This window comes from Homo sapiens, chromosome 3 (assembly GCF_000001405.40).
Source record: "Homo sapiens chromosome 3, GRCh38.p14 Primary Assembly".
Lineage (NCBI taxonomy): Eukaryota > Metazoa > Chordata > Mammalia > Primates > Hominidae > Homo > Homo sapiens.
The window spans coordinates 172,888,907-172,915,647 of record NC_000003.12 but is presented as its reverse complement, the minus strand read 5'-3'; the positions used below and the strand labels follow the sequence as shown (position 1 = coordinate 172,915,647).

The 26,741-nt window shown below is 37.4% G+C and overlaps 1 protein-coding gene across 2 annotated transcripts in view; it reads left to right on the top strand.

Annotated features, from left to right (window-relative positions):
• The window catches only part of SPATA16 (spermatogenesis associated 16), a 251,879-nt gene extending 225,588 nt beyond the window's left edge, over positions 1-26,291 (top strand). Inside the window, exons 10-11 of one of the 2 annotated variants that reach the window (NM_031955.6) lie at positions 1,904-1,987; positions 25,956-26,291. In NM_031955.6, coding sequence (NP_114161.3) covers positions 1,904-1,987; positions 25,956-26,078 — 207 coding nt within the window. In that variant the 3' untranslated portion in view covers positions 26,079-26,291. Of the gene's footprint in view, positions 1-1,903; positions 1,988-9,548; positions 9,749-25,955 lie in introns of those variants that run through there. The other variant, XM_006713778.4, reaches the window with a different exon arrangement.

The following is a 26,741-nucleotide window of genomic DNA, read 5'->3' as shown; positions in this document are numbered from 1 at the left end:
TTAATATTAGAAATGATAGCACCTCATTTGAAAAACAGTTTACTAAACAGTGTGCTGCCTGTTCAAGGAAAGGTAAAATTTACTCTATATGAAGCTCCTAGTGTGTTGTAGGGAAAGGCCCTTTACTTAGAAGCTTTAATTGAGAGCAGCTAAAACTAATTATAGCCCTGAATTGAATTCACATAGTAATGATGAGAACAGCCCAAACTGATTACCTGTAATTTTCAGATGACTAAAGAAACCCTCCCCCTTTGAGCTTTTTAAGATTTACTCAAGAAATGAGCTGCCAACATTTATAATGTTCATCTAAACCTGCTAAAAGCATGTTAAATAAATACTGATATTCAGAGTAAGCACAGGAAGTTGTATGACTAGCCAAATAATAAAACTATGCATACTAAAGATGAAAACTATGAAATAAGTCTATGAATCAAGGAATTACCAAGTCAAAACTGGCAATAATACTTTCTAAACTTTATGGTTGTGTGCAAAAGAACACCTTCTAAAAGGTTAAATGTTTATCCTGCCATTCATAAGGCACTCAGAAGTATAGTAAGTATGGAGCTTTCAAAGTGCATATTGTAGCCTATTTTAGATGATTAATGCTCCTCTGAGATAAGAGGAAGCAAAGAAAATGTTAATTTAAGAAGCCGGCAAAATGTTGATCCTGTCTTCCTGAAAAGCACATTCAAGATTTAAATGAAAAATACAGGGGAATTCTCTGCACTTAAGTCTTCTTAATCACACATCTATATTTTTTTTTTTACTGGAAATACTTATTTTTCAAAATATATACAAAGAGCCTCAAACTAGCATTATTGACATTCCTTTCTAAAGTGTAATTTTTCTCTATTTGAAACCCTATAAAATGAAATTTCATTGGATATTTTTGTACTTATATACCCAGCAGAAAAATATTTAAATATATGTGGATGTATATCTGTATGCCAAGCATTTAAACATTATATATCTTATAAGGTTTGATGACCTTCAATAATAGATTTTACTTTGCAACTTACAAGTGTGGGTTAACCTAGAGAATTAATCCTAGTAATACCCTGTATGCTGCTATCTAAACAGTGATTGCTTAATAGAAGATTTTGAGTGACTCAATTATCTCTCCTCCTGCTTTCACGCTGCAATATCTAAACCAAAGAAAGATTATCTAAGGTCCATTACTGTTTGATGTCATAGTGAACTGAACTGGTATTTTTTAAGAACTTTTTTTAACCTTTGAATAGCACATGGCTTGATGTAACTTCATTTCACTTTCGTGGTCAAATACACACCATGTGTACAGGATACTTTCACATTAGAGTACAGCAGGTGCCTGTTTGGGGCAAAGGTTAGAATGTTTAAAACTTGCCTTCGAATGGGACCTAAAAATAAAAAAAACTTGGCTATTTTAAAATTTTAACAAAGAAAAAAACAGTAAAAGAAGTTAAATGAGCTAGATTCTTTAAGAGGCAATAAAACAGCATAATTGTAGTATTGTCCTCTGGTGAGCTTTTGCTTGATGCCTAGAATTATGATACATTAGCCTCAGGAGAAAACGCTAAAATGCCTTCATGTACTACATGCCATTTCCTGAGAGAATTAACTACTGCCTTCATTCTTTACAACCCCAATCTGTTTTTCACAAAACATCAACACTTACTACATTAAAACCTATATGTTTTTTACAAATTTTCGAGAAGAATCTTTTCATTGTTTCAGTATTTTATATCTGCAATAATATTCGGCAATGACAAGCAAAGATGAGGTGGCAATATTCATTGTAGGAAAGATGAGTAATAAAATCATCAGCGTACAAATGATTTTTTAATTAGGTTTTAATCTGTGTATTTAGAGAAGTTATTTCTGTGTGAATTCCACACTGATAATTTTTATCTTGGTGCCACAGCTGCAGTCACTAATGGCAGATGCTATGGACACCCTTGAAGGAAGAAGAAACAATAATGAACGTGTGTGGAATATGATCCAAAAGGTAAAACTTTGAGCTGAAGGAAAAAGATCTATTATTCTCAAAGAAAATGTCCATTTTGGGTCAAATCTGTTTGGAGGATAAAAAGAAACCCAAGTTCTTTGGTTTGTTTTTTTGTTTTCCTTTTTTAATTAAATGCAGCTCTCTCCCTGGAAGTGTGACCAAAATCAAATATGGATTTATTTAATCTGCTTCTTTTCCAACAGGCTGTGTTCATATGCTTTCGTGATTTTTCTTCATTATCATGCTCATTTTCATATTCTATTTTCATTATCTGCGCCTTCGTTCTCGGTTTTATAATTCTTTAAAGCCCTTTCATCAGTGTTTTAGTCCACTCCTCAACTATATTTCCACTTTTTTCACTTGAGGAATAATGACTACATTTCAGGGAACTACAAAGAAACTAGCACATTGATGTTTTTAGTAAAGAACTAACATACTAATTGTTAGAAATAGAGGAACATCCCATCATTGGCTACTGGGGTTTAAATGCAGGAAGTGCCGAGATGCACCTGGACCCAAGTACTCAGGAGACTTGTGTGACACAACAGGACCCTCTGAAAATGTGAAAGTTAGTAATCTTGGTTCTCCAGTCAAACTCAAAGTATTAAGTTCTGATCAATCAACTCCCCATTCATCTTCCTCCCATCACTGTAAGAACCCACCAGGGGAGACTGGCATCAGGAGATGTGAAACAAACAAAAGAACCTTCAGTTTAAAAGCCAACCCTAAGGGATTCTGGAGCACCTGAGGAAACACGTGTCTTTTGTAATGAACTCAGAGGCCCTGTGATATACAGTTGACCCTTGAACAACGTGGTGGTTAGGAGCACAGTCAAAAATCTACAATTAGCTTTTGGCTCCCTAAAAACTTAACTACCAATAGCCTACTATTGACTGAAAGCCTTATGGTAACATAAAGCGTTGATTCACACGTATTGTATATATGTATTATATACTGTATTCTTACAATAATGTAAGCTAGAAAAAAGAAAATGTTATTAAGACAATCATAATGAAGAGAAAATATATTTACTATTCATTCAGTGGAAGTGAAGGTCTTCACCCTTGTTGTCTTCATGTCGAATTGGCTGAGGAGGTGATTGGTCTTGCTGTCTCAGTGGTGGCAAAAGCAGAAGAAAATATGCCTATAAATGGACCTACACATTTCAAACCCATGTTGCTCAAGAGTCCACTGTATGTACAAAAAAACCCAGAAACTGACTGTCAGCAAATATGTGTTGAATACATATCTACCATGCCAGAAAAAATAGTTAGATATTGGAAATATTGTGCTCAGCAAGACAGGCACAGCTCTTGCCTGTATGGTCCTTATGATCTACAAAGCTACTTATGGGCTAACTGAATATTGCAAAATAAAGGGGATGTTCAATGATCTATGGAAACAAATGGCAGAATAGCCTTGTCTGGGAGGTCAGAAACACTGCCTCTAAGAAAATGATATTTATACAGCATTTAAAGAATGTGTAGTGGTTTTCCAGGTAAAAGGGGATATTTCTAAACAGAGGGACCACTTCGTACTGAAGTGTTTTTTAAAAAAGCATGGCACATTCAAAAACTAACCAGAACGTACAGAAGATATTTCAAAATGAAGTGCAGAGGCAGGAGAAATTACAGAAGGACTTATAAATTAGGTTTGGAATGTTTTAGAGTATATTTAACTAGAAAATGTTTTTAAGACATCTTTAGGGCTGTGGTGGGGAGAAGAGATTGAGGGGCTACAGAAATGTGGGGAAGTCAGTTATAAAGTAGGGATCATCATCCAGGTGAGATATGCTGGTGTCTTGGTTTAGGGTTGTGGGCACAGAGAAGAAGAGAAAGCAGACGGACCTAAGAAATATTCAGGAAGCCACATCTATAGGCCTTGTTCAACTGATGGGATCTGGGAGTTGAGAGAAAAGAAAAGGTTAAGAATGATGCCTAGATACTTGCTTGAGCAATTGAGCAGGGAATAGGGAAAGGTTTGCTGGTGCCACTTACTAAAGAAGAAGACACTCTCATAGGAGCAGCTTTTGGCCAAGAATATAAATGCCTTTAGAATTCAGTTGGGAGAAAGAAACCATGCCAGATATATGAATGGAAATTTAATATAAAGAATGGTTAAGTAACTTATGAAGTTGTTAATTAGGTAACTGAAGAAGCAAAGGAGAACAGTAAGTTGTCACAAAGAAAACCATTAAAGAAAGCAACCACCATGTCTTCGGGCTGGGGAATCAAAGAGAAGTTGGAATGGCCAAAACTTAGAAACTTGGAGCAGGGACCCTACTAAGCCAAAACTCAGACTCCCCACTAGAAGGTGCTGCTCAGCTGGTACTGGTGTCCCTGAGGTTAGAGTCCTGAAGGGCTGGGACCCAAACCTCCAAGAAGGGGCCACTGACCCACCGGTGCTATGGGAAGTGATGGGGAGGCGGGTAGTAATGGATGTAGTTTGCAACTTTTGGAAAAACTAAATTTGGCTGCTACTACAGAAAAGAAAGTATGTTTCTGATTGAAGGTTTGTTGAAGAGATACTCCCAGGAACCCTAAAGCAGACAGAAGTAAACAAGAAGCAAAGAAGAAGCAAGTCCCTTCTTTCTCCTTCTAATGCCCTCTGATGACAGAATCTAACAGTTGGCAAAAAAGAAATGGAATTGCAGAGTCCCAGCCATATTTATCACAGAGCTGAGTATAAAAGAGCGGATTTGGAGTTGCAAGGCTATAGGTTAACAACTGGCACGAAAGTGCACCTATGTTCACATAGGGTGCTGGCAAGACATCCAACAGGAAATACAAAAGCCTGGGGTTCCGGATAAAAGACTGAATAAAGATAGATATTTCTTAGTCATTGGCAAATTGTCATTAGCTGAAATCATGGCTTAGAAAGAGTATAATAGAGTAAGGAGAGAAGAGGGCCTTGAGGAGCACATTTCAAACTTAGGCGGAGAAGCCCATGACAGAGACTAAGAAGGACTGGCAAGAGGAATTAGAGATAGAGCAGCCAAACGTGGTCCTCATGAGACTCAAGCAATATAATCACATATCTCTGTTGGCTATAGAAATAGTTGTTTAGAACAAGGGTCAACAAACTACAGTCTGCAGGTCAAATCTAGTATGTTATCTATTTTTGTCAATAAAGTTGATTTCACACAGCCATGCCATTTATTTACATATTATCTAAGTCAACTTGACTGAGTTAAGTAGTAGCCACAAGAACCATAATAGCTCACAAAGCCTAAAATATTTACTATCTAGCACCATCAGAAAACATTTGCTGGCCGGGCGCAGTGGCTCACGCCTGTAACCCCAGCACTTTGGAAGGCCAAGGCGGGCGGATCACGAGGTCAGGAGTTTAAGACCAGCCTGGCCAACATGGTGAAACCCCATCTCTACTAAAAATACAAAAATTAGCCAGGTGTGTTGGCACATGCCTGTAATCCCAGCTACTCAGGAGGCTGAGGCAGCAGAATAGCTTGAACCCAGGAGGCAGAGGTTGCAGTGAGCCAAGATCGCACCACTGCACTCCAGCCTGGGCGACAGAGTGAGACTCTGTCTCAAAAAAAAAAAAAAAAAAAGCATTTGCTGTACTCTGGTGTAGAGCATTACCTCTCCCAAAAAAATTGCATTTGTACAGTAAATATTTGTATTTACAAATCCAAACGGTAACAGAACAATAATCCAATTATTAACTTCTAGGGACCAGCTAAAAAGATACAATAAGGATTGACATGATATCTGTCTATATCATGTAAACAACAACTAATTTCATCTCACTTAAAAGATCTTTGATACCCATGTTCATAGGAGCACATCCTATGATGGATTTGCCACTATTTTGCGACATTACAGTTGTTATCTATTGCTGCGTTACAAACCAAACCACTCCAAATGTAGCAGTTTAAAACAACAATTCAAAATTATCTCACAGTTAGTTCTTTGAGTTGACCAAACTCCTGTAGGTGGCTCTTACTCAATGCATCTCATGCAGTTTAGTCAAATGGCTTCCATGCATGGGGCTGGAGTCATCTGAAGGCTAAAATGGACTGAAATCCAAGATGGTTCACTCACGTGGCTTACAGTTGACACTAATCACTGAGGTAGTTGACTGGAGTACCTAACCGTGGCCTCTCTATGTGAATTGGGCTTTAAACAGCGTGGCAAAATAGTGGCAAATCCATCACAGAATGTGCTCCTATGAACTGGGTGTCAAGAAGGGGAGTATTTTAAGAGAAAGGAAGTAGAAACCATCAATCCTCTTAAAGGGTAAGCCTAGAACTTGCACAGCAAATCCCACCACATTCCACTCATCAAAGCAGTCACAGGCCAGCTTAGGTTCCAAGAGTTGGAAGAATCAATCCACCTCCTCTCAATGAAGGATTAATATTTGTATTCAATGAGAGAATAAAATGATGGCACCATCTTGGTAACAATGTAGAGTAGCAGGACTGTGGTTGTGTGTCCCAGGCTAGAAATCATACATTCAAGCAAGCAGGAGGATAGTAAAGTCAAGGCCTCCAAGGCTGAAACACAGTACAGCCACTCTACCCAACCACTGGGTATCTAGAAAGGCTCACTGGTGAGCAGCCAATCTTTCCAAATTAAAAGTCCTGATAATGATCATCACTTTCTAAATGAGAGGTCTTGAGGAAGATGTGAATGGGAAGGAACAGGGTGCCAAATTTTTCCCAAGGGCTTTTAATTTGGTTAATGTGACTCTACAAAAGATGATTGTATCACTTTCAGACAATTCCGGTAGCAAGTAAGTAATTTCCTTTTACTGCTACAGAGTTAATTTGCGTGTGCAGAAAAAAAAATAATTAAAAAAAAAAACCTAATTGTACAAGCTACACTGTGTTCTGAGCCCAGTAGAAGTTGATATCAGCATCACCACCTCTGAGATCTGTTATCTGTAATAGAAACAGCTGTTGTAACTAATGAAAACACTTGAAATTTTCATCTGAAGCAGCAGAATTATAGCAGAACCTCCTAGTTCCACATAGTTAAAGGGTCTGTCAGAATCCCCATTACCTAACACAATTTTCAGGGCTCTACTTTGCTATAGGTCTATAAAAAGCCGATCAAGATGAAATCTGATTCATGAAAGCTGACCTCCTGTCTACATTTTGTTTTCTTTGAAGTTTCTCTCAGAGCCCAGAAAGAGACAGAATGAAACAAATGTATTTTCTCTTGATTCACCAGAATGGAAATATATTCTTTACAGAGTTTTCAGAAAGTGGTTGTGGTTTTGGTTTGGCTTTGCAGAGTATTTCCTAACAATTAACTCAAGAAAGATAGATGTCTGTAGGTTTAGCTATGCAAATACAAAATGACCAGGTTATGATTTTTTTTTAAAAAAAGGTAAATTTTTATGTGTTGGAAAGTCCGCTGCCACAGCATATTTAATTAAGGATAGAACATTTGCTTAGTTTTATTATATGACTAAAACACCTGAGGAAACATACTCTTTTGAACATCCCACAAATCCTGTTGACACATTGCTCATTTATGCACTCATCACACATTTACTGGATACCTCCTCTGTGTCAGTCATCATTCTAGACACTGGAGAAACAGCCATGAACAAGCAGTGCCCTCATAATGTCTGCACTCTACTGAAGTAGGCAAACACTACCTAAAGAAATACAGGATATGTTATAAAGTAGTGAATGCCCCATGGGGGAGAAAGCGCAATAGGAAAATGGAAAGTGCCAGAGGAGGGAGCATATCATGCAAATATCTGGTGAAAAGCATCCCAAGTAAAGAAAATAGCACATGTAAAACCTGAGACTGGGCTGGGCACGGTGGCTCACGTCTGTAATACCAACACTTTGGGAGGCCGAGGTGGGCAGATCACCTGAGGTCAGGAGTTTGAGACCAGCCTGGCTAACATGGTGAAACCCCGTTTCTACTAAAAATACAAAAAAATTAGCTGGGCATGGTGGCACGCACCTGTAATCCCAGCTACTCAAGAGGCTGAGGCAGAAGAATCGCTTGAACCCAGGAGGCAGAGGTTGCAGTGAGCCAAGATCGCGCCATTGCACTCCTGCTTGGGTAACAACAGTGAAACTCTGTCTCAAAAAAAAAACAAAAAAAACACCAAACCTGAGATTGGAGTGTGCCAACATGCACAAGGAACAGCAAGCAGGGTAGGGTAACAAGCTGAATGAATGAGAGTAGTAAGAGATGAAGTGAGAGAGGACATAATGCTTTGCAAAGAAGCACTCTAAGCTGTTAAGTTGGAAATAGATTGAAGAAGGCAAGAATAGAAGTAGGGAAATGAGTTAGTCGGTTATTGCAGTGAGAGCAATAATGGTGGCTTAACCCTTGAACGCAGTGGTAGGAGTGGAGGTGAGAAGTGATCTATTCAGAAGGGCAAAGGCTGATTTAGAGGGAGACTAGTATAAGAAAACACAAACAAAATAAAACAGGAAAACCCTGAACTAGCAATTTGGGGACCTGTGTCTGTCACAAATTAAGTCGGAAGCCACTTCCTTTCTCTGCAGTGTTCTCATGTAAAATAAGGATATTGCGCTGGATGATTCTAAGTCCCCTTGCAGCTGTGATTGAACAGGCCTTTTGAAAGTCAGATCATCAAACGAAAGGATAGGAGTTAATATTTTCTGAGCTCTTAATAGGGACCCAAACTCTCCTATTTACTTTACATATACCAAACTCATAATCCTCATGAGAGGTAAAAAGTATAATGTACATCCTGGCTAACACGGTGAAACCCCATCTCTACTAAAGATACAAAAAAAATTAGCCGGGCGTGGTAGCGGGCACCTGTAGTCCCAGCTACTGGGGAGGCTGAGGCAGGAGAATTGCTTGAACCCCGGAAGCGGAGGTTGCAGTGAGCCAAGATTGCGCCACTGCATTCCAGCCTGGGCAACAGAGCGAGACTTTGTCTCAAAAATAAAAAATAAAAAAGTAAAATGTATTAGAGAGAAGTTTAGCAGTTTGCCTAAAGTCACACAGCCAGTAAATGGCAGAGCTAGGAATTCATCTGACCCTGGAGCCTAAACTCTTTCTTGATAAAAGCCCAAGTTTTGTGCTGCCTGAAACAGCCTGAGTGACCAGCACTGTTGTCTGTAGTTGAACATTCAGGTGTGAGGCCGAGTGGGGAATTAAGGTGACCTCCAACCAAAGTGGAATTTGGCTATAAACCAGCCCAGTTTGTCTTCAGTTCTCAAAATAAAGTTCTTTCAATCTGAGCCAAAGAGTCACTGAGGAATTTATGCTAGTCTACCTCTGTAACTTACTTGTATAGGATCCTCCATCTCTGTTCCTTAGTTTTCCATCTATATCCAGAAAGAATACAGAGCCTAAATCTGCAAATCCTTAACCATTAATTCAGCTCCCACTCACAGGACAGTGGGCAAGTTATAGCCTTCTGAGAAGCATGATGTGTCCTTGCCCACATCACTTTTAGATCCCATGATTTTCTGTTACCATTGAATCCCAAGGTCCCTTGGAGTTTTAAGAACTAGGCTTAAAGTAAATAGAAAAAGGGGTCTTAAAAAAAAGCACCAACTGTTAAGTTGGAACACTTCTATTTCTTCTTGTCATAGAATCAAACAGCTAAGCAACACTCTGTCTGCAACTAAGAAGAAAAAGTTATTTGCTCTTCATTTATAAAGCCTAAACCTGGCATTGAGAAGATCAGCATTTAACCTGGTATGACATACAGTATTGTCTTGTTCTGCTATGCCTCTGGATCACTGATTGAAGACTAAATGAGGAAAATAAAACTTTGTTACATTAAAAGTAATGAGAAAAGTGCTCCAGCATATACTTTCGGACCTGTGAGTTTTCCTGAGGAGAAATGCCACTTTAAAATTTCATCTAATATAATATAGTACCTCCTAAGCTTCAATGAATCCAACAAATAGAGTATAGGTAATCCTTTAAACCATCCATATGAATTTATTCAAAATTATTTTGCTTCTTGTGTTCCTTTTTAACCTCAAAATCTTAACTTATGAATCATACTTATTGTGATCCTACGGAAATGGCATTCACTGATATACTAATTTGGTCTTTTAGGATGAAAATGTGATGGAGTTACATGTTACTTAGCAACTCTGTTCTGTTCAAGACTGTTGAGGTAGGCAAAGCAAACAGGAGAGAATACAAATTTGGGAAATGAGGCAGGGGCAGTTGGTTGAGGAGGTAGAGGGAAAAGCCAGTTGGAACATTTTATTTACTTTCCACATCAGCATTTAAGCCCAAATCCTTCCAGAAACTCTTCTGAGAGAGATTGTACACATGGCACTATCATTCATCGGCCAGTCATTTGGGCTAATATGTGGCTGGGTTAGTACTTCTGAGGGTACTGCTGTCTTTTCGAAGATTCAGCAGCCGTACCATTCATTTGCAAAGCAGTCTTTCCAGCAGTCAGCCTTTTCCTGTGTGTCTTGTTCTTTAAGGAGTCTCTGCAGATTTATTGCAATTTGATTGTGAATCTTCTTGCTTTTGGTTATGGGCTTCCTTATTAGCATATCCCCAAATTCCTTTACAGTGTGTGTGCTCCAAGCACTACTAAGCAGTTCTGTCCAAGGCGTAGTGCAGATCATGCAGGGAAAGAAACCTAAGTGCTTTTACTGCTGATCACGCTGGGGAGGAGAGGAAAGTTTCCTAGGACAAGCAGGGAGGGAGACAAGACCCAAGGGGCTGAAAGAGGCCAGGTTCCTGGGACTAATGGATCTGTGTTAATGGCATCCAGGCCAGCAACTGCAGTGGAAGAGCCTTAACCAAAGTCCTGGCAGAGCCTCGTGATTGTGTTCAGAAGCTAAGCCCTGGGGCAATCGGACCCGGGAAGGGAGGACCTCATTTCCAGATGGTTTACAGAGCAAAGCCCAAGCCTCGCCTGTGGAATGGAGAGAGCCGAAAGCCTTGGTCTGGCCATCTTTCCCACCACAGTCCAATGCTCCAAATCTAGATGGTAAACTTCAATTATAATTTAAACCAACATCTTTCTCCTCTGACTTCCAGGGAAAAGTATAAGGTTAATAGGTAAAACATTTTCAGCAGCTGCATTTGCTAATCACCCACTTTGCACCTGTAGTTGGCCTTGCCTCCAAAACTGGAAACACCTCTTTTAAGTGCTTTGTTGGCTGAAAATACTGTCTTCTAAAACTTTGATGATTTGGCAGGAAACCTCTGCAGCAGAAGTATTTCTGAGCAGGCGTCAAATCATGGCATGGCCCTCATCTAGGGAGCATGTATCCAGGAGCTCGGCCACTTTTAAACAAGAATTTATCAAGGGGCAGACAAAGCTAATCTGCCACCATTCACATGTACCTAATAAAATACTGTATTACCCCACAAATTATCAAACTATGTTAGTTTGTCTGAAGCTTGCTTTTGAATAACTATCACAATTGGAACAAGCTATAGAAAAATTTATTTCAGATAAGTAACTGATAATGATGATGACAGATATTATCAGTTATTATTCCTGATGTCTTAGTGTGTGCCAAGCATTTCAATACATTATCACATTTAAATGATTGCAACAACCCTATAAGAGAGACATCTTTATCTCTCTTTTGAAAGATGAGGGAAAATAGCTGTGTAGAATTAAGAAAACAAGCCCAACTTTGTAGTGACAGGGTTTAATTTTGAAATAGATTTGTTTGGGTCAAAGGCTTGTTCTTAATTGTTGACTAGCACACTTATATTAAACCAAACAAAGCTGTCACAAGTCAATGGCACAAAGAACGTTGCCTGACCTAAGTTCAGATTCTGTAAGACAGCCAATGAGACAATCTTTGAGTCTTCTTTTTGGCAGGGAATCCTTTGTCTGTCACTAGGTCACAGCTTGCTGCCCATCTGGCGACTTGCCCACACTGCTTCGTGGTAGCTGCCTGACCCACTGCACTTCCCTGAATCATGATGCTCTTACTGTCCTCCCTCACCATCCTTCCCTTTGTAGACATATCATGTTAAGGTTTGCTTTGATAGCTCACTATTTTCCCTCTTTCTGCAACTTCAGAACTTCAAGGAAACAGCTTAGAAATCTAGACATTTCTGCAGTATACTTACTGTCGCCCTGAGGGTCACTCTCTAGTGAATAATCTGAATTATCATCCAGAAATGCATCAGGCTTTCAGTGAAAACACAATTTTATAAGCATATATTGCCATAACCCCTCCAAGTTTTACCATCACAGCACAGGGGGTCTTGAGGCTGGAAGTGGACCAACACAAAGTCTACCACCTCCACTTCCTGAGCACTTTCTCTGCCTGATCCACTTATGAGCTAATTTATGGAAGTGACTAAAACAGAAATTGGAAATGCTCGTATTAGTCCAAATCTATTAGAGGAGTTTTATCTTTGCAAAAGTTTTTCAAAATGCATCTTTCCAAATTTCAGTGTAATATTCTGGTGAGAGGAGTGGAAACATATATCTCAATTGCATGTTGAACTGAAGAGTAAGTTTGTAGTTCCTTCTATACATTGCTTCCTTTAAATTACTAAAAATGTCTTCTTTGCTTGGCAGTCCAGCATTTTATTGCCTGTCTTTTATACATTACGTTTTGCAATCCTTTATAATTCTGGAGAATAACAGAATAACAGCTTATACCACTTGGTAGCTAAATGAACCATAGGACATCTTCCATTCTGTATTGAAAGTGGGATTAATACAGAGTTCAGAGCAATTGACTTGTAGCTCATTCAGTCATTTGTAGTGTATTCATTATACCTTTCATCTCTGGGAGAAGGGCAAAAATAAAAGTGCCTTTACATGCAGCTCTAAAGGAAGACATGGATCATTTATCCTTCTGATTATGATTTTCTTAAAATGATACCTGTGGAGAAGGGGACAAGACTGGAATCTAAAACACACACAAATTCCACAGCAAAATATACCCATGTCTCTCAGCATCATCAAAATTGAATTAAACTAATGTGTACTCTACCGAAATGACTTTCTGCTGGAGAATAGACTCTGGAGAGGAACATGAGAGGGCTGGTGAGAAGATGAGTGTGGACATATGTTGGAGAGACCCTAACTTAGATGTAGAATAAAGTAAGACCTATCTCTTATTACAAGAAATTTGAAAGGCTTTTAACTTCCAAAGACCTCTTATGGAAAGAAGGCTCCTTCAGCTTTACAATAGGTGATTCACTTTATCATATTAATAAAGCTATTTAGAAGCAACTGGTCAAACTGATTCAAGAAATGAAAGCACATCTTCCTAAGGCACAGGGGTCAAAATCATTTTTTAAAAACCTATGATAGAGTACTTCTACTTTGAAGAATATAGAGTAGATTTGCTTTCCCCCATTCACCCCATTATATACAATTAAAATCCCTAGACATGGCTGGGCGTGGTGGCTCATGCCTGTTATCCCAGCACTTTGGGAGGCTGAGGTGGGCAGATCACCTGAGGTCAGGAGTTCGAGGCCAGCCCGGCCAACATAGAGTGAAACCCCATCTCTACTAAAAAAATACAAAAATTAGCTGGGTGTTGTGGCACATGCCTGTAGTCCCAGCTACTTGGAAAGCTGAGGCAGGAGAATCACTTGAACCCGAGAGGCGGAGGTTTCAGTGAGCCGAGATCATGTCACCGCACTCCAGCCTGGGTGACAGAGCAAGACTCCGTCTCTCAAAAATAAAAACACAAGGTATCCCAATCTTCCTACCCTAACAGGGTAGTGTCAGAGAAGAACAAGTAGGGAGTCTGGACTTTTATCCCCAGTAGGAAGTAAATCTCCCCTTTTCCTTCCCCATCCTTGCTGGTATGGTGTTGGAGGAGACCTGGTAGAAAGTCAGGATTTTTAGCACCCAGCAATGGTAGTGAGTCTTCTCCCACAATGTTGTGTCAGTGAAGGCCACGTGGGAAACAGTGATAAGATATTCCTACCCTCCAAGCCACGAAGGTATCAGTGGAAACCCAGTGAGGAGCTTGAACTCCCATCACCACCCAGAAGTAATGAGAAGCCTCTCCGTCAGGTGTTATGGAGGGTGAATTGGGAACCTGAACCTCTGTTTCCACGTGGAAGTAACAAGGCAGTTCCCTCATAATAAAATACCCAAAATGTCCAGATTTCAAAGATCACTCATCACACCAAAAACCGGAAAGATCTCAAACTGAATGAAGAAAGACAATCAATGACTGCCAAAACAGAGATGTCAGATATATTAGAATTATTGACATTTTAGGCCAGGTGCAATGGTTCATGCCTGTAATCTCAACAATTTGGGAGGCCAAGGCAGGTGGATCACTTGAGACCAGGAGTTTGAGACCAGCCTGGCCATCATGGCAAAACTCCATCTCTACTAAAAATACAAAAATTAGCAAGGCATGATGGCACATGCCTGTAGTCCCAGCTATTCAGGAGGCTGAAGCAGGAGAATCGCTTGAACCCGGGAGGTGGAGGTTGCAGTGATGCGAGATCATGCGATTGCACTCCAGCCTGGGCAATAGAGTGAGACTCTTGTCTCAAAAAAAGAAGAATTATCTGATGTTTTAAAGCAGGCATTATAAAAATGATTTAATGAGCAATTACAAACACATTTAAGTGAAAAACACAGTCACAACAAATAACAGAAAGTATCAACAAAGAGAAAATATAAAGAAAAACTAAATAGAAATTTTAGAACTGAAAAAATAAAATAACTATAACAAAAAATTTATTGGATGGACTCAACAGCAGAATGAAAGGGACAGAGGAAATAATCAGTGAAAGAAAGACAGGACAATAAAAATTACCCAATTTTAGGCCAGGCGCAGTGCCTTATGCCTGAATCCCAGCACTTTGGGAGGAAGAGGTGGGCAGATCATGAGGTCAGGAGTTCGAGACCAGCCTGGCCAATATAGTGAAACCCCCATCTCTACTAAAAATACAAAAAATTAGCTGGGCGTGGTGGCATGTGCCTATAATCCCAGCTACTCAGGAGGCTGAGGCAGGAGAATCACTTGAATCCGGGAGGCGGATGTTGCAGTGAGCCGAGATCATGCCATTGCACTCCAGCCCGGGCAACAGTGTGAGACTCCACCAAAAAAACAAAAACAAACAAACAAAAAAAAACATTACCTCTTCTTAACAACAAAGAAAAAATAAACTGTAAAAAAAAGGCTCTGGGATCTGTAAGACTGTAATAACAGATTTAATATTCATGACATCAGAGTTTCAGAGTAAGAATAAGAGTGGGCAGGATGAAAAAAGTTCTCAAAGAAATAGTGGCTGAAAACTTCCCAAATTTGGCAAAAGACAAAATTATAAATTTAAGAAGTTGAGTGGATATCAACTAGGATAAGCCCAAAGAAATTTATACCGGGATACATCATAGTCAAACTTCTGAAGACTAAAGGCAAAAACATCTTAAAAGCAGCAAGAGGGAAATGATGCATTATCTATATGAAAAAATAAATGACAATGGCTTTCTCATTAGAAACTATGGAGGCCAGTAGTAAGTGGCATAATATTTTTCAAGCACTAAAAGAAAAGAATTGCCAACCCAATGCAAACATCTTTCAGGAATAAAGAAGAAATTAAGACATTCTCAGATGAAGGAAAACTGAGAGAATTCATCATCAGAAAACCTACCCAAAAAGAATAGCTTAAGAAAGTTTTCTGAATAGAAAGGAATCAAAAGAAAGACCTAGAAATATCAAAAAGGCTGAGAGAACACAGTAAGCAAAAGTATGACTAAAAATAATACACTTTTCTTCTCCTCTTCATCATGTTTGGTGGGGGAAACAAAAATAATAACATTGTTTAATGTAGTTCTGAATTTATATAAAGGATTTAAGGTAATTAAAAATGGGAGAGGGTGAAGAGACAAAGCAATGATTCTATACTTCAAATTTAAAATGAACACACACACATATTTTACGTACACACACATGTAATATCTAGAGCAAATACTCAAAAAGCCATACAAAAAGATATATCAAAAACTCTAGTTATGTCAAAATGGAATTCTGAAAAATGTTTAACCTCAAAAAGGTAGGGGGAGTGAAACAAGCAACAACCAAAGAAAATAAAAAATAAAATGGCAGACTAAGGTCTAACATACCAATAATTTCACTAAATTTAAGTGGCCTAAATACACTAATTAAAAGACAGAGATTGGCAAAATAGACTTCAGAATATGACCCAAATATTCTGTCTACAAACTCACTTCAAATATGATGATGTAGAAAGCTTAAGAGTTAAAAAATGTAAAAAGAAATATCATGTAAACATTAACAAAAGGGAAGCAATAGTGGTTATATTAATATCAGACAAAGGAGACTTCAAGCAAAAAAAGTTACCAGAGACAGGGAGGGATATGATATTCTATAACAATAAAATTATTAATCCACCAAAAAGACAAAGCGATTCTAAGTGTATGCACAAACAAGAGGGTCTGCAAAATATATGAAGCAAAAACTGATGGGACTAAAAGAAAAAATAGACATGTCCACAGTTATAGTTGGAGATTTCAACTTCCCTTTCTCAACAATTGACAGAACAACTAAATAGAAAATCAACAAGAATATGCAATAACTTAATAACACTATCAAGCATCAGAATCTAATCAACGTTTATGTGCCCATGGAACATGCACCAAAATAGATGCTATTCTGGATCATAACAAACTTAAACAAATTTCTAAAAACTGAAATCATAAAGAATGTGTTCCACAACTGCAATGGACTCAAACTAGAAGTCAATAAAAGAAAAATCTGCAAATACTTGGATAGTTCATGGATCAAAAAAGGAGTCTCAAAGGAAATGTAAGAATATATTGAACTAAAAAAAATGAAAATATATCAAAATTTGTGGGATACAGGTAAAATAGCAATGAGAGAAAAATGTATAGCACTAAATGCATACACTATAAAAGAAGAAGCTATCTCAAATCAATAACTGAAATCCGAGTTCAAAAACCTAGAAAAAGAAGGACAAAATAAACAAAGCAAGCAGAAGGAAGAAAACAATAAGGATTAAACTAGAAATCAATGGAAATGAAAACAGAAAAATAAAGAAAATCAATGCCACAAGGAGCTGGTTCTTTGAACAGGTTAGTAAAATTAAAAAAAAAAAATCTAGCAAGACTAACAAATAAAAAAGGGAGAAGACACAAATCACCAATACCAGGAATGAAATGGAACATCACTACAGATGCTGCAGACAGTAAAAGGATAATAAGAGAATCTTAGAACAATTCTACATATATAAATTTGACAACTTTGATAAATATACCAATTTCTCAAAAAACATGCTACCACCACTCACCCAATATAAAATAGTTTCATTAACCCTATAACTATTCATAATTATAAACTCCCCAGACATCTCCAAGCCCAGACGTTTTCACTGGATGATTCTACCACACATTTAAAGAATTAACACCAATTCTGCACAATTTCTTTCAGAGAAAACAAGAGTAGCAAACCCTTCCCAATTCATGTTATAAATCTAGTATTATCCCAGTACCAAATGGGACAAAAATAGTACGCAAAAAATCTACAAACCAATCTCTCTTGAATATAGAGGCAAAAATCTTAACATCATTAACAAATAGAATTTAGCAATATGTTTAAAAATTATATACCATAACTAAGTGGAATTTATCCCATAGATGCAAGAATGTTTGAATATTTCAAAATCAGTGTAATCTACCATATAAACAGATTACAGAAGAAAAATTACAAGATTATATCAATTGATGCAGAAAAAGCATTGGACAAAATTGACACTCATTTATGATTTAAAAAATACTCAGAAAACTAGGGATAAAGAGGAACCTCCTCAAATTGTTAAAGAGCACCTCCAAAAATTCTATAGTTAAATACACTTAATAGTGAAAGAATAAAATCTTTCCCTCTAAAATCAAGAACAGGGAAAGGATATTAGCTTTCACCACTCTTATTCAACATAGTGCTGGAAATTCTAACCACTGCATTAAGGCACAAAAAGGAAAGAAAAGGCATGTAAAACAGGAAGAAATAAATCTGCCCTTCCCTATTTGCAGATAACATAATTGTCTACATAAAAATCCCCCCAAAAAAATGAGTTCAGCAAGGTTGCAAGATACAAGACAAATGTACAAAACTCAGTTGTATTTTTATATAACAGCAATGATCAGGGACACTAAAATTTAAGACAGTATTATTTACAATTGCTCAAATAAATGAAATACTTTGGTGTGAATCTAGCAAAACATCTACATGAATTGTATGCCTAAAATTACAAAACAGTGATGAAATCAAAGATCTAAATAAATGGAGAGATATACTGTGTTTATGGACTGAAAGACCTCACATAATATAGACATCAAACTCTCAAATTTGAAATACAAGACTTTTTATATGGCTACAGTAATCAAGAATTTGTATACTGATGGAGGGATTAACACAAAGCTCAATGGAACAGAATAGAGAACCCAGAAATAAACCGATATATCCTGTACTGATTGTTTTTATAAAGGAGTAAAAGCAATTCAGTGGAAGAAAAATAGCATTTTCAACAAATGATGCTGGAACATTTACACATCTGTAGACCAAAAATAAAAGAAAACTAAAACACAGCCTTGACCTAATCCTTACACTTCATACAAAAATTAACTCAAATTAGGTTATAGACTTAAATGCAAAATGTAAAACTATAAAACTTCTACAAAAGAATAGGAAAAAATCTACAGGATTTTGGTCTATGCAAACTTCTCAGACTTGACGCCAAAAGCACAATCCATAAAAGTTTATAAATTAGACTTCATCAAAATTAAAAACTTTACCTGTGGAAGGACTCTGTTAAAAAAATAAAAAAGGATGAAAAAAAGCTCAGCATGAGAGAAAATACTTGCAAACCCTACATCCAACAAAAGACTATATACAGATTCTATAAAGAGCTCTTAAAATTCAGGAGTAAAAAAAAAAGCCGATCCAATTTGAAAATGACAAAGATTTGAACAGACATTTACCAGAGTGAATGACAATTGAGCATGTTAAAACATGTTCAACATCACTAGCCATTAGGGAAATGCAAATTAAAACCACAATGAGATGTCACTACACACCTATTAAAATGGCTAAAATAAGCAATAATGACAATACTAAATGCTGGTAAGGACACAGAGAAATTAGATCACTCATACATTACTAATGGGATGTAAAATGGTACAACCACTGTGGAAAATAATACGGCAGTTTCGGGCACGGTGGCTCACGCCTGTAATCCCAGCACTTTGGGAGGCCAAGGCAGGCGGATCACGAAGTCAGGAGATCAAGACCATCCTGGCTAACACGATGAAACTCTATCTCTACTAAAAAATACAGAAAATTAGCCAGGCGTGGTGGCGGGCACCTATAGTCCCAGCTACTCGGGAGGCTGAGGCAGAAGAATGGCGTGAACCCGGGAGGCGGAGCTTGCAGTGAGCCGAGATCACGCCACTGCACTCCAGCCTGGGTGACAGAGCGAGACTCCGTCTCAAAAATAAATAAAATAATAAATAAAACTAAATATAACCTGGGGATAACATCACTATTATAAAGCCTAAGATCAGTGCTTGAGATATTTGGCAGACCCTGCACGTGATGGATCAGCTGGCACCACCCAGACAGATAAACTGGCTCATCTGACCTTGTAACCTCCACCCAGAACTGACTCAGCACAAGACAGCTTTGACTCCCTTTGATTTCATTTCCAATCCAACCAATCAGCACTACTGAAAAAAAAAAATTAAATATGCAGCTACCATATAACCTAGAAATTGCCCTCCTGGGCTTTTATCCCAGAAAAATAAAGACTTACGTTCAAACAAAGACCTGTATACAAATGTTTATAACTTATTTTACAATAGCCCAAATTATTGTAACTTATTTTACAATAACCCCAAACTGGAAATAATCTAACTAATGAATGGTTAAACAAACTGGTAAATTCATACCATGGAATATTAGTTAGTGATAAAAAGAAATAAACTATTGATACAACAACCTGAATAAATCTCCATAGAAGTGTGAAGTTATATACTATATGATTCCATTTAGATAAACTTCTTGCAATAACAAAATTATATAAATGAAGAACCTATGGCCAGGCACGGTGGCTCACTTCTAATCCCAGCACTTTGGGAGGCTGACGCAAGCAGAAAACTTGAGGCCAGGAGTTCAAGACCAGCCTGAGCAAAATGGTGAAACCCTGTCTCTACCAAAAATACAAAAATTAGCCTACTGTGGTGGCACATGCCTGTAATCCCAGCTACTCGGGATGCTGAGGCAAGAGAATCACCTGAATCCAAGAGGCAGAGGTTACTGTGAGCCAAGACCACACCACTGCACTCCGCCTTGGGTGACACAGCAAGACTCTTGTCTCAAAAAACAAAAGACAAGAAAAAAAAACTTATTAGTTTATTAGTGGTTGTCAGGGCTTAAGAAGAGGTTAGGGACCAGGAGGAAAACAGATGGTTATAAAAAGGTAACATGAGAGATCTTTGTGGTAATGGAACTGTTCCGTATCTTGACTGTATCAATGTCAGTATCCTGGCTGTAGAATTCTACAGTTTTGCAAGATATTACCATTGACGGACACTGGGTAAAAAATATGCTGAGTCTTGCTGAGTTTCTTTTTACTGATGTGTGTGAATCCTCAATTATCCCAACACAAAAGTTTAATTTAATAATATATATTCAAACCTTCAGATAAATCTTACCAAAATTAATTTTTTTTTAACTATGATACATGGTACCTTAGCCTGTTCAGGCTGTTATAACAAAATGCCATAGCCTGGGTAGCTTATGAACAACAGAAATGTATTTCTCATCATTCCAGAGGCTGGAAAATCAAGGCAGTGGCAGACTCAGTGTCCACTGAAGGCCCCTTTTCTGGTTCATAGTTGGTGCACTCTAGCTGTGTCTTCACATGGTGGACAGAGCAAACAAGTTCCCTTGGGCCTCTTTTCATAAGGGCACTAATGCCATTCACGAGAGTTCCATTCTTGTGACCTAATCGCCTCCCAAAGATCTTACATTCTAATACTATCACTTTGGGAGTTAGAATTTCAACATATGAATTTGGGAGGACAGAGACATTCAGACCATAACACATAGTTTCCTGGACTATGTGATAGCAAAATTTCATAATAGTTTTCTAACTCTATATTAAATATACTGAAAAGTGTTATCATTATGGGTATTTTCAAGAGTTGGTGATATAGTTTGGCTTTTTTTTTTTTTTGCATGTTTTGTAAAATCTCAGGGGTAGGTACCCCAGATTTTTATGTTACACTCTTATGACTAAAATACTAAATAATATACCAAATTCACTAAATGAAAAAGAAAAAACTTAGGGGCTTGTCTGTCTGTTTGAATACTAGCCAAAAGCTAAAGGAAACTGCTATATTATGAATAGTAGAAACAACTCCGTTTCAGAAACTTAAGTTTATTTTAGAAATTAATTTCAAGCCTATTTGAAAACAATTGTAATTCTAATAAGAATTAAAATTCAAACCATTTTGGATGATAAATATTTAAAAGCTTTTGGTCTGGAAATAAAACTGGAACAGAGCAAAGAAACTAATGTTATCAAATCCACTGTGGTGGAGTGAAATGTCTGTTTTACCGAGAGGATTTTGGTCCAAACTGCTAATCACTGAAAACACATTCCCATTCTGTAACTACCACTACATTCATATAAACCTGATATTTATTCCTGATGAATTTTATTCCTATTTCCTCAACTTTCTTCTTTAAAAAAACTTTTAAAGCTTTAATTAAAAAAAAAATTATTTGAGCCCTCAATTCCTAAGGCATGAACATGCGCAAGCAAACCCATATAAACACACCTAATCCTCTCTCCTTGATTCAGACTACATGAAATTTAATAGGAAGCCTAAATTCAAGCCCAGCATCTTCCTTCTCAGTATAATTTACTTGTTCATTCATGTTTGAGATCAACTTCTTCTCACGGCCATTAGTGGCAAGAGAGAAGCCTGGTTCCCAAGGTATACACTAAGCCTGTGCCAGGGGGCACCAACCAAGTAGGGAACATCAGTGGGAAATGATAATTTTGGAAAGGATCAAAGTCATGTTTGAGGGGAAAATTATAACTTAATTGCTCTTCCCTTCACTTTATGGCTTAGTAGTTATATTCAGATGCTAGGGCTGCCATAGCAAAGTACCACAAACTGAGGGGCTTAAACAACAGAAATGTATTATTTCACAATTCTGGAGCGTAAAAGCCTGAAATCAGTGTCTTCAAGGTTGGGTCCCTCCGAGGGCTGTGCAGAAGAAACTGTTCCCTGCCTCTCCCCTAGTTTCTGGTGATTTGCTGGCATTCTTTATCGTACCTTGGCTTGTGGGGGCATCACCCCAATCTCTGCCTTCCTCTTCACATGGTATTCTTCCTGTGTGTGCATCTGTCTCCAAATTTCCCTGTTTTATAATGACACCAGTCATTTTGGATTAGGGCCCACCCTAAGGACCTCATTTTAACTTGATTAGCTACGTAAATACCCTATCTCCAGATAAGGCCACATTCTAAAGTACTGGGGGTTATGACTTTAACATATAAATTTAGAGGGGGACACAATTCAACCCATAATAGTAGTGTTTAAGTGTGAATTAAAAGGTGTTGAGAAACTGACTGATGACAATTTCCTTACTCTTTGATATGGGTTATGACCAACAGTCATATGATGGGTCAGAACCTGCCCTCCTACTGAGATATTTCATTCCCCTCAATCATCAGACATCCTAAAATTCTCTACAAGCTCATTTGGTCTAATGTCCATATCACTGTAATGTCAAGTCTGCATTGGCGCATATATACACAAAAAAAGTTATCTGCCCATTTTTCAACGGGGAAAATTAGACCCAGAATGACAAAGTAGCCTATCTGATACAGTTAAGCAAGTAGATTCTGTACCAAAGAGAGTCTAATAAAGCCTCTGCTTCAAAAACTGTGTCCTTTCTTGTGTACTTACATATTTCTTTGTGTTTTATTTTCCTAAGGGCTTTACAGAAATTTCTATCATTTGCAATCTGTTCTTCTAGTTATATGAATCTATTTTCTCTTTAACCAGCATTTTTCTTTCCTTGACATAAAAAAAAGAAAATAAAGAACCAGCTTTTCTAAAAAACATGTTGCAGCTCTCCTACACGTCAGTAAGTATAGAAGCTAAAATTGACTTACTTTGCTGCATATCGTGTCATTTATCTAATGGTGTAATCTAAGGGAATAACCTCTGATTTGAAAATGTGAGTACTCAGTTTTAGGATTGGACTACTTGGCTCTGATGTGAGTGTGAGTCATGGAATTTTATGACCAGATGTGTCTTTGGAAATTATCCAGGCCAACCCTCTTTTAATACCAACTGTTGGTGAAAACTGAAGTTCAGAAAGGCCAAGTAATTTCCCTGGGGTCACAGAGCAGTGTTAGAAGCCAACCCGAGAGCAGAATTCAACATTCCTACTGACTCCTCATCCAGTGCCCTTTCTACTCCTGGCTGTTTCAAGTACACAGGCAAGACACTCTCAAAGCTAAACAATGGTAAAAGAATGGTGGCAAGAGAAAGTAATGTTTATTTAATTTATAGAAGAAAAGAATGCCTTCTGATATCCCTCATTCCAGGCATGACTTAAATATGGAAAAACACATGGTTTTGTGAAACTCTTCAAGTCTTTTATCAGGGAGTAGGATTACTGAGGTTCTACAATATCCTAGGTTTTGGAAATAGTGGACAACATGGACCTGGTCCCTGCCTTATGGAGCTGAAAGTCCAGATGAGAAGACAGATGTTATATAAATCATTATAAACAATTAAGTTTAAAAATTACAATATCTAAAGAGATGAAAAAATGTTACTGAGACAACCAACTTGGCCTGGGTTCTGAAGGAAGACTTCCCTGAAGCATTGATGTTTGACCTGAAATCTAGAGGATATGTAAGTGTTCTAATGGACATGTTCCATTAGGAAGATCGAGGGGGCATAGAACAATGCATGGCTGTGCTCAGATAATTGAGAGATGTCCCACATGGCTAAAGCAGATGGATTGATGTTAGACAGCACCAGAGATACAAGTGAAACCTGATAACCCAGGTGTAGAGGTGTATAGACCATGTTAAGGGTTTAGAAATCCATTTAATATAATTAAGCAAGGGAAAGATGTGAGATCAGATTTATCTGTTTAAAAGTTCATTCCAGCATCATTATGAGATGGATTAAAGCACAGGAGGGAGACAGGCCAGGTAGGAGGTGAACATACAGGCCAGATACAGCACGCACATAGTATGTGCTCTGGACCTGCCCAGTTAATTCAGCGGAATTCTTTTATTCCAGTGACATATCTTGTGTTTCTTGTCTTTTTAAAATAAAATGCAACCCCATTACTCAGTACTGCTCTTAATGAACACAATTGTTTTTAAAAGACAGCAGATACCTAATGGATATTTAAAAACAATTATTTCACTGTCTTATTGAAGGAAGCTTTTTGCTGCATTAGAATTGTAATTTAAAATTATATTTGGGCTAATTGCAAATATTCTTATTGTAAAGAACTTTGATTTAAATGATACATTGTCAATACAAATAATGTGAATGAATCATCAACTCAACTATTGAAGTAATGGTAAGCTGCCATCCATTATATTTGCACTGACTGTGCTCCATGTTAATTTTTTAATGTCTTATTTTGGTGAAAATCAGATAGTGTATATGTGTATGTGTGTGCGTGTATATATATATACACATATTATATATATATATGTATATATATATGGAATACATAGAATAATGCATTAACTTCATGGAGGAATCCAAAAAGATTCTGTCAAATTATTTTTATGTGTCCTGCAATGATCAGACATCATAAAAAACAATGTGCTTTTTAAAAAATGTACCTGAAATAGTTTTTACAAGGGTTTCAAAAAGAATAGTTTTCATATAAATAATTTATCTTGTTTTCTTAAAAAAAAAAAAACAGTGGACCATTTATGTCACTGGTATGATATGAGACCTAAGCATAACATATGGATGAGTGCTACCATTTATTATTCTCTTTTTGACAATCTGAATTATCCTTTGGATATTACTCTGAATGATAAATCAAGCAATTTAAAAGTGGAACTCAAAATTGGAAAATTGAAGTTGTAAGTGCTTTTATCTTAAGTGATGATACGTTCATGTACCTTGAATAGTAAGTGCTCTAGCTTTGAGTTAACTTTATGACAATGAGCTCTTCAGTGAGTAATGTTAGGCTAATACAATATGCAGGTCCTAGGAGTCAGGGTTAAGTATGAATCGTATATCTACTGACTTTCATGAGAAATCAATTCAGCATATGTGTAAACTTTTATTCTATAGTTTTTTCTGACAAACAGTATACTACATTCTATCAACTGCCATTGAATAATTGCAAGTTTTCTTTGAAGAAAGACTAATTCTTTTTCAAGAATTGTTGTGTATAACATTATTTTACCTTATTCCCTGGAGTGTGGCATTTTTTAAGAAAATGCATTCTTTCAGAATTTTGATTGAAAGGAGACATGATTCTTGCCAAGACTATACAAATACTCATTTTTCTCCCATGTTGGTTAGGAGCATCTAAATGCTAGAATCTCTGGCTTTGAAGGAGGTAAGTTTGTTTGTTTGTTTTCACTCTTATTGTTGATAAAGGAGATGGAGAAAAGGCTTGCCATGGATTAATCTTTTACCATTCACTTTCCTTTGAAATCCCTGGTTTTACTGACCATTAAAAACTGCATGGTGACAGTAATCCCCATTTCCATTCCCAATACCTTGGACCAAGTGATAAGGCAAACTCCTGCACTTCTGCTTTGTGTTAAGTTAGTAAAACAGGGAGACCTGTAATGGAAACAGAAGAAGGCTTTTATGTGTAATCATTTCTGTTTCTGCCAGTTCTGTTCCAACATGGATTTGTATGTGCCATTTATTTTAAATACCTCACCGTTTTTATAAGTATACAAAACCCAGGAAAACAACAACAAATCTTGTTGCATCTGTTTATTTCTTCTAGGTTGGACAAATTGAAGATTTTCTATACCAATTAGAGGACAGTTTCTTAAAAACTAAAAAACTGAGAACTGCTCGAAGGCAAAAAACAAAAATGAAGCGACTTCAAACTGTTCAGCAAAGGTAGTCATTAGGGAGCAGGCACTACCACTAAGATATCCCAGAAGAAGAGGCAAGGGCATCCACTCCAATGCCCACCTAGTACTGTGAAGCTGGATAACAAAAGCTTGTCACCAAAAGAAAGAGGTGGTATTCCCCTCAGTTCATCTTTACCAAAGACACTCTATGTTTCATTAATCTCAACTGGCAGCAATAAATATTCTCAGCAAGTTTGACTTGACTTTTGTTCAGATTTTTCTTGTTTAGTTAAAGAGCTTATAAAATAACCATTGATACCTCTTTCACTGCCTTGATCTTTCAAAATGGACAAAGGTATATCAGGTCTACCCAATAATGCTTATAGTATACATCTATAATCATGTATATTCATTAAGAATCATTCACAGGCCACCTACAAATACAGAAAACAATATAAATGCAAAATTGAACTTATAAAACTAATAATGTACTTTCCCAACTCTTATAAAGATAGTCATACATGGTATGTCTGACATCAGTTAAGTTGTCTCATTAAGTTGTTTTTTTCCTCTAGATCCTTTATATTGTATTTTCTCTGCCCCTTAAGCTATGCAACACACATTTGACAAGATAGTCAAGTTTGCATGTTTGACAAGGTAGTGAGTTGATAGCCATCACTGAAGACCTCAACTGATGCCAATAAAAAGATCTG